Source organism: Homo sapiens, chromosome 6, assembly GCF_000001405.40.
Source record: "Homo sapiens chromosome 6, GRCh38.p14 Primary Assembly".
In the NCBI taxonomy this organism is placed as follows: Eukaryota; Metazoa; Chordata; class Mammalia; order Primates; family Hominidae; genus Homo; species Homo sapiens.
Window position 1 is genome coordinate 30,617,425 of NC_000006.12, and position 9,055 is coordinate 30,626,479.

Here is a 9,055-nt window from a genome sequence, read left to right on the forward strand (position 1 = left end):
CTGGCACTCTCTTCCGCCTCCTTCCTGCCTCCCTGTCGCGTGCGCGTGACCAGGAGCCTAGCACCTCCCTTTCCTCTGCTTCCGCCACTTCCGCCCTGGAGAACATTTCTCACCCAGGATTGGTAGAAACCTAAGAGCGCATGCGCACTGAGAGGATACCGCTAAAAATCGCCTTCAAAATTGCTTAAAAGGCAAACTTTAACAATGCGATCTAAGAGTCGTAGTGACTGGCCAAAAAAAACCGCAATTTTGGGGTCTAATTCGATTGTGACGCAGTTGAAATTAGCTTCTCCCCCATGCCTTCCCTTTCACGCTTCCGTCCTGACGCAAACGTGGGGCCGCCTTCCGCACTGCGGGCTTGTCCTTGGCCCTGCCCTACTCAGTTTCCTGAAGCATGCGCAGTTGCCTTTCCGTCAATTCCTGTCCTGGGCGTACGTCAAGATGGCGGCGTCTGTATTAAACACCGTGCTGAGGCGGCTTCCTATGCTATCTCTCTTCCGAGGTTCTCACAGAGTTCAGGTAACTCTTCGAAAGACATTTTGCACAACCTCAAGTTGGTTATACCTTCTCGAGGTTGTCGCTCCACTGTCAGGAATCCACGAGTGGAGACCTTCCCACGTGTGTCTTAGCTGTCTAGGCAGTACTTCCTGCAACCCCCCCCCCACACCCCGCGCATTTTCTAATCCCGAGCCGAGGACTAAACGCCAGGGTTAGGTATCATCCTTTTTCCAAAATGCCATTTCAGTAAAATAACTTAAGTGATGGAATTGACCCCTGTCCACCCTCAGTCATGCATAACCAGCTTTTTAAAAATTATTTAACTAATTAAGGGGCCATGCTAATCTCTGTATCGTTGCAATTTTAGCATAACATATGTACTCCCCAAGCGAGCGCCACAACCAGCTGTTAACTATGCAAGTGGTGACTAAATCTGTGTTGCTCTGGAATGTCCTTGGGGAAATTAGGGATCCCAATTTCTACCAACCTTGCTATTTCTCAATAAGGTCAGGATATATTCTTACGACCTGAGGACAGTTTCTCAGCTCTCTTTATTAAATCAGTTTCTTATCGGAGTTATGAGAGCTTAACTCCGTCCTTTGAATTGAGGTTTCCCTCCAGTCTTGTGTACTCACCTCTCTGGAGGTTCTTGGTGGGGCACGGTGAGATAGGAAGGCTTGCCCAGCTGCCACTCCCTAAAGTGGGACTGAAGAGTGGTGACAGAGGTCAACACAGAAATAATAACAGCCTTGGTAGCTTTAAAACTAGCGTTAGGACTCAAGTTTGTTCTGCCCTGTAGAATGTTGACCTTCAGCTTTTATGAAAATGGGCAACTCAGTGACTTCATTGGATTGATTTGGAGACTCACCTGTCTTCTGCATCCCCTCCCCACCACACATCTTAGTTCCAAGAACCTAGATATCCTTCCTCTTACTTTATTCTTCCACCAGAGTCAATTTATTTCCAAAAAGCAAGAATACCTTTTATGTACTAGATTTTTTTTTCTTTTTTCTTTACACGAAATCTCACTCTGTTGCCAGGTTGGAGTGTAGTGGCGCAATCTTGGCTCACTGCAACCTCCGCCTCCCGGGTTCAAGTGATTCTCTTGCCTCAGCCTCCCGAGTAGCTGGGACTACAGGCGCATGCCACCACGCCGAACTAATTTTTGTATTTTTAGTAGAGATAAGGTTTCACCATGTTGGCCAGGATGGTCTCGATGTCTTGACCTCATGATCCGCCTGCCTGGGCCTCCCAAAGTGCTGGGATTACAGACGTGAGCCACTGCGCCCGGCCTTGTACTAGACTTTTTATTTGTCTTCTGAAATAAGATTGTTTTTTAGGCATATATCCCCTAACTTAGCTTTTCTTTCAGGATCCAATTGTAGAAAAGGAGAGTGGTTGTTGATTTATGTCAATTTAAACCCAACAAAAATACTTAACTTACATATGCATTCCTGTTATATTCCATTAATGCAGTATGTGTGCATTCCTCCTTTCCAAAGTGTGATAAGCAAAACAATTTAGTCCTTTCCTTAAACTCATTCTTTTATTTTTTTCTTCTCCTTTGTAGGTTCCCCTCCAGACTCTTTGCACCAAAGCTCCCTCTGAGGAAGATTCTTTGTCCTCAGTTCCCATTTCTCCTTATAAGGATGAGCCCTGGAAATATCTGGAATCAGAAGGTACCTCTAAAGGGGGAAAGGGAGGGTCAGATAGGATTTGAGATAAGTGGACAGAGCCACCCACTACACTCCCACCCAGGAATAACTTGTATGATCTTTCATTTCAGAATACCAGGAGCGATATGGTTCTCGCCCCGTCTGGGCTGACTACCGCCGCAACCACAAGGGTGGTGTACCCCCACAGCGGACTCGGAAGACATGTATTGTGAGTTTCTGAGAGTGGGATGTGGAGTGCGGGGAGGCCACAAGTAACAGTAACAGCAGCACTTTTTCTGACGTGTTTGAACATCCTTAACTGCTGTTTTTTTTCTCTCTACAGCGTCGGAATAAAGTTGTTGGGAATCCCTGCCCCATCTGTCGAGATCACAAGTTGCATGTTGACTTTAGGGTAAGGAGAGTCTTTTCTTTTTAGGGTAAGAAAAATAAAGATTAGGGGCTGGGCGCGGTGGCTCACGCCTGTAATCCCAGCACTTTGGGAGGCCAAGGCAGGTGGATCATGAGGTCAGGAGATCAAGACCATCCTGGCTAACACGGTGAAACCCCGTCTCTACTAAAAATACAAAAAATTAGCCGGTTGTGGTGGCGGGCGCCTGTAGTCCCAGCTACTCAGGAGGCTGAGGCAGGAGAATGGCGTGAACCCGGGAGGCAGAGCTTGCGGTGAGCTGAGATCGCATCACCGCACTCTAGCCTGGGCGACAGAGTGAGACTCCGTCTCAAAAAAAAAATAAAATAAAATAAAAAAAATTAAAAAGAAAAATAAAGATTAGGAGCCCCTTTGCAGTGCCAAAGAGATTACTGTAGGTGCCCCACACTTCGTATATCCAGGAGGCCCTACAGTCCGTTTTATAGTAACTGTTTCTGGCATTATAAAAACATCCCTCCAGCCTTTTACCTTCTACTATGGATTGTACTGAAAGTTTTATCCTATGCCTATGAAATTTACAGTCTAAATTGGCAGGTAAGAGAAATGGCTGTTTTTTTTTTTTGAGACGGAGTCTTACTCTGTTGCCAAGGCTGGAGTGCAGTGGCGTGATCTCAGCTCACTGCAACCTCCGCCTTCTGGGTTCAAGCGATTCTCCCGCCTCAGCCTCCCAAGTAGCTGTAACTACAGGCTTGTGCCACCAAGCCCAGCTATTTTTTGTATTTTTAGTAGAGACAGAGTTTCACCATATTGGCCAGGCTGGTCTCAAACTCCTGACCTTGTGACCCACCCGCCTCGGCCTCCCAAAATGCTGGGATTACAGGTGTGAGCCACCACACCCAGCCAGCGAAATGGCTATTTCTAGTGGGAGAGCCAATATCCAAAGATTCGTTTGTATTCATTACAGTTATTACCAAATATATTGGCCCACTTTCTTCCTGAGGTTTTCTTTATTTCCTTGTCAATGTTCAGTGCCATGCTGGCACCTGGGGCTGGAGGGCAGGTATATGAAGCAAGATAGAGTCCATTATTTTTCAAAAAGCCTTCAATATGTGAGAAGGACAGGATTTGCTCCTTAAAGAATTTGAAAACATATTGGCTGGGTGCGGCGGCCCATGCCTGTAATGCTAGCACTTTGGGAGGCCCAGGCAGGTGCTTCACCTGAGGTCAGGAGTTTGAGACCAGCCTGGCCAACGTGGTGAAACCCTGTCTCTACTAAAAATACAAAAATTAGCCAGGCATGGTGGCAGGCGCCTATAATCCCAGCTACTTGGGAGGCTGAGGCAGGAGAATTGCTTGAACCCGGGAGGCGGAGGTTGCAGTGAGCTGAGATTGCACCACTGCACTCCAGCCTGGGCGAAAGAGTGAAACTCCTCAAAGAAAAACAAAACAAAAAGAATTTGAAAACATTATATCAATAAAACAGATAATGGGAAAGTGTTCTTCTGAGCTTGCAGCAAAAGTATTAGAGCAGAAGCTATATGGCTGATCATCAGGGAAGTAGTAGAGCATTTGGATAACAGTCAGAAAATGGGGGTATTTGACTGCAATAAGAACCCTTCTAACACAGGTTATTTAGGAGTCCCATAGATAATTTCCCAGTTTCAATTGCATATAATTGGTTATAAAAAGAGATTATGGCCAGGTGCGGTGGCTCATGCTTGTAATCCCAGCACTTTGGGAGGCCAAGGTGAGTGGATCACTTGAGGTCAGGAGTTTGAGACCAGCCTGGCCAACAAGGTGAAACGCCGTCTCTACTAAAAATACAAAAAAAATTAGCTGGGTGTGATGGCGGGCGCCTGTAGTCCCAGCTTCTCAGGAGGCTGAGGCAGGAGAATCACTGGAACCTGGGAGATGGAGGTTACAGTGAACCAAGATTGCACCACTGCACTCCAGCCTGAGCAGCAGAGCGAGACTCCGTCTCAAAAACAAAACAAAACAGAGATTATAATTAATTACATAACTGAGAGAGAGAAATGTTACAAATTTAGTAGCATGGGTGATTCTGCTTGCATTCTACTCTACAATGTACCTGCTTTTTTTTCAAGAGTCTCATTTCCTAGTTAATTTGCTGAGAGAGAGTTCTATGTAAATTGTAAAATTATTCTTAGTATATAAATTATATTCAGCATACTATTAAATACATTAGTTGTTTATACATACACATTACAATATCATTTTTTGGGTGATTTCTGGGATTTCCAATGACCAGCCCCAGTTTTTCACCTAAAGGCTGACGTTAGAACTTAACCTCTGCAGCCCAGGCGCGGTGGCTCATGCCTGTAATCCCAGCACTTTCTGAGGCCAAGGTGGGTGTATCACTAGGTCAGGAGTTCAAGGCCAGCTTGGCCAAGATGGTGAAACCGCATCTCTACTAAAGATACAAAATAATTAGCCAGGTGTGGTGGCAGGCGCCTGTAACCCCAGCTACTCGGGAGGCTAAGGCAGAGAATTGCTTGAACCTGGGAGGCGGAGGTTGTGGTGAGCTGAGATCGCGCCACTGCACTCCAGCCTGGGCAACACAGGGAGACTCTGTCTCAAAAAAAAAAAAAAAAAAAAAAAAAAGAACTTAACCTCTGCATAAGAGATTTCTATGGGAGCACAGTGACAGAATATGGGATGTGCAAGGATGGATTCAGTGAATTGATGAAGCCAAACTGGGACATGAAGGAGGATGGCATCTGGAGAGCTGTAGAGGGGTGAAGGTGGTCCATGTGGGTGTGTAGGGATTGTGTACTTTCGATGTCCAAAGATCCTGCTGCTCTCCCTGCCTCTTTTCCTCACGTTTCTCTACCACTTTCCCCCACAGAACGTGAAGCTCTTGGAGCAATTTGTCTGCGCCCACACGGGTATCATCTTCTATGCTCCATACACAGGTTAGCCCATCATCCCTGCACCACCAGAGAGCTTTTCCTTGTGGCATGCCTTGTTTATGTAGTTGGCCAATAGGTATTTGTTCAGTGGCTCCTGCTTATAGCCTAAAAGGTCTGGCTGAACCTTTTGGAAATCTTGGCTTGCTGGGGGCTAAAGTAATTAAATGTGGACAAAAGAAAACAACAAATACAGCCAGGCGTGGTGGCTCATGCCTGTAATCCCAGCACTTTGGGAGGCCGAGGCGGCTGGATCACCTGAGGTTGGGAGTTCGAGACCAGCCTGACCAACATGGAGAAACCCTGTGGTGATGCATGCCTGTAATCCCAGCTACTCAGGAGGCGGAGGCAGGAGAGTCGCTTGAACCCAGGAGGCACAGGTTGTGGTGAGCCAACATTGCGCCATTGCACTCCAGCCTGGGCATCAAGTGAAGCTCCATCTCAAAAAAAAAAAAGGAAAAAGAAAAAAACAAGTACTTCTGTAAGCAAACTATCTAAATGTAGTTTTTAATTGATAAACAGTGATTAATTCCTTTCTATAGGGTCTTTTAACTTTTACAAAAGACTTCTCACAAATTGTCACATAAGTTATTTTATATCATTGTCAATTGGATTAGATTTTCCAAACTTGGAATCGTAAATTTAACAATTCAGAATTATATTTATTCCCTAACTACAGTCACAGGGCAAATCTGGCCCACTGTCACGTCCATTTGTTTTCATATTTTCTGCAATTGCTTCCATGCTACAATGGCAGAGTTGAGTAGCTGAGACAGAGACCACAGGACCTGCAGAGTTTAAAATATTTACTATATGACTCTAGACAGAAAAATTTTGCTAACCCCTGCTCTGAAGCAAGACAAATTTGCAGAGAATAATTTTTTGTTGTTTTTTTTTTTTGAGACGAAGTTTCACTCTTGTTGCCCAGGCTGGAGTGCAATGGTGCAATCTTGCCTCACCACAACCTCTGCCTCCCAAGTTCAAGTGATTCTCCTGCCTCAGCCCCCTGAGTAGCTGGGATTGCAGGCACATGCCACCATGTCCGGCAAATAGAGATGGGGTTTCTCCATGTTGGTCAGGCTGGTCTCGAACTCCGGATCTCAGGTGATCCAGCTGCCTTGGCCTTCCAAAGTGCTGGGATGACAGGCATGAGCCACCGTGCCCGGCAGAGACTAATCTTTGTTTTTGTTTTTTTTGGGGGGGTGTGGGTGGGGGGATGAAATCTCATTTACTCTGTCACCCAAGGCTGGAGTGCAGTGGCATGATCTTGGCTCACTGCCGTCTCCACCTCCTGGGTTCAAGCAGTTCTCCTGCCTCAGCCTCCCAAGTAGCTGGGATTACAGGCACGTGCCACTGTGCCTGGCTAATTTTTTTTGTATTTTTAGTAGAGACAGGGTTTCACCATTTTGGCCAGTCTGGTCTTGAACTCCTGACCTCAAGTGATCCTCCCACCTAAGCCTCCCAAAATGCTGGGATTATAGGCATGAGCCACCGTGCCTGGCCTTGCAGAGAATAATCTGAATTCACCATTGTTGGGGGTGGCAGTACAATCAGTGTTCAGTTTGTCAAGAGTTTCTTATAGTCAAGCTGTAAAGGCTGAAGGGACTATTATTGTTACTCTCTCAGATTGCCTTCCCCAACTCTGAAATCTCTTTTCCCTTTATTGAATCTTTGTGGATTGTTCAACTCAACCCTCTAATTAACCACACTTGCCCATTAAATTGTGTTCTCCCTGTCTTGGAGGTTTTACCATTAAATGGCTTCTCTATAGTGGCTAGACCCTCCTAAATCTTTATCCCAGCTCTCCAAAAGATGGGGGAGATTCTTTCCTTTGGGCAGATGGGGAAACTGAGGTCCATGGAGGGGTCAGGGGAAAGGGGTCATTAGGTAAAGCCAATCCTTCCCAATCTACCCCTCTGTCACCATATGGAAGCAGTTGTGTTCTATTATTTACTGTGCCTTAAAGAACAAGATATTTTTCTCCCCACAGGAGTCTGTGTGAAGCAGCACAAGCGGTTGACCCAGGCCATCCAGAAAGCCAGGGATCATGGTGAGCATGAGACGGGGCACACAGCAGTTTTGTTTAGGTATAAGGAAGATGACTTAGGGCTAGAAAATGGATATAAATGCTCACACCTGTTCAAGATGGTAGCACCCAGCATGTTCTTCCTGACGTTACATTGTCCCCTGTCCTTTCTCCTGAGTGTCTTACTTTATCATTGTCCTGTCTCCTTGTTCTTTGTCTTTCCATCCTTTTCCCTCCTATTTTACAACTGCTGGTCTCAATGCCTTAGGAAGTTCTTTATATAAATGTCTGGCCCTGGACTACATGGCACTGCTGCATAAGTTAGTAAAAAGTATACCCCTCTGCTAGGGCAGATGCAGCTTCATAGTCCTTGTTCAGCACTGCACAGCTTTGTAAGCAAGAGCCCCAGCAGTATGTCAGCCCACACTTGCCCTCTGGGCCGGTCACCTGTTTGCAGTATACAACATGCATAAATGTACCTGGTGGCTCTGACTGGTCCTTCCCTTTATAATCCTTTTTCTTACTTCATCTAAACCACCCTCCTCATTGCCTCTTAAATTTCTTTTCTTTTTTAATCCCTTAGGTCTCCTCATTTACCACATCCCCCAGGTTGAACCACGGGACCTTGACTTCAGTACCTCTCATGGGGCTGTGAGTGCTACTCCGCCAGCCCCCACCCTGGTCTCAGGTGACCCCTGGTACCCATGGTACAACTGGAAACAGCCACCGGAGAGAGAACTGTCTCGCCTTCGCCGGCTTTACCAGGGTCATCTCCAAGAAGAGAGTGGCCCCCCACCTGAGTCAATGCCCAAGATGCCCCCTAGAACACCAGCGGAAGCCTCCTCCACTGGGCAGACAGGCCCTCAGAGTGCTCTGTAGGAGCTGTAGACTGGGAAGAGAGGCCAGGCGTGGTGGCTCACTCCTGTAATCCCAGCACTTTGGGAAGCCAAGGTGGGCTGATCACTTGATCCCAGGAGTTTGAGACCAGCCTGGGCACCATGGTGAAACCTCGTCTTTACCAAAAAATACAAAAATTAGCTGGGTGTGGTGGTGCACACCTGTAGTCTCAACTATTGGGGAGGCTAAGGTAGGATCACTTGATCCCAGGAGGCGGAGGTTGCAGTGAGTTGCAGTCACACCCCTGCACTCCAGCCTGGGTGACAGCTAGACCCTGTCTCAAAAAAAAAAAAAAAGACTGGGAAGAGAGCTAGAGGGACTAGGAGATAATGTGTATGTAGGTTTATGTGATGGGATATCACCCTGAAGAGTTGTGTCTTTTGTGGCCAGTGACAAATCCAGGAAATGAATGTTGCTGATAGGGATAAATCTTGAGGCTGAGGGCGGGTGGTACAGATGTGTATGGGAAACCCCAACCCCTATATATTGTAAATAGATGGGCTGGGCTAAACATTGTTGCCGTTTCATACTTCTACCAACTCAGCTTTTACACAATAAAGCTCTACTGTCTCTGGTTTGCTTTGGGCTGTTTCCGATGAATGCCATTAGCGGGGGGTGGGCTGAGTGATGGTCTTTTCATATAAGCAATTGGGTGATGCTGTGG

At 46.5% G+C, this 9,055-nt stretch overlaps 1 protein-coding gene across 2 annotated transcripts, besides 1 other annotated feature; it reads left to right on the forward strand.

The window, feature by feature from the left end:
• Positions 77-645: an enhancer, noted in NCBI's record as "H3K27ac hESC enhancer chr6:30585278-30585846 (GRCh37/hg19 assembly coordinates)". NCBI's record gives its function as "activates a minimal SCP1, AML or CMV promoter by ChIP-STARR-seq in naive H9 embryonic stem cells {active_cell/tissue: H9 hESC(naive)}" and the evidence as "EXISTENCE:reporter gene assay evidence [ECO:0000049][PMID:30033119]".
• Positions 416-8,968, forward strand: MRPS18B (mitochondrial ribosomal protein S18B). 2 transcript variants are annotated; one of them, NM_014046.4, is made up of 7 exons: positions 416-519; positions 2,069-2,177; positions 2,285-2,382; positions 2,497-2,565; positions 5,408-5,474; positions 7,459-7,518; positions 8,078-8,968. In NM_014046.4, exons 1-7 carry the CDS (start codon positions 442-444, stop codon positions 8,371-8,373), a joined length of 777 nt encoding a protein of 258 aa, NP_054765.1. In that variant the 5' UTR covers positions 416-441; the 3' UTR covers positions 8,374-8,968. The 2 variants fall into 2 exon arrangements, with proteins under 2 accessions (NP_054765.1, XP_024302176.2); XM_024446408.2 differs by lacking the exon at positions 5,408-5,474.
• Positions 8,969-9,055: the final 87 nt, after the last annotated feature.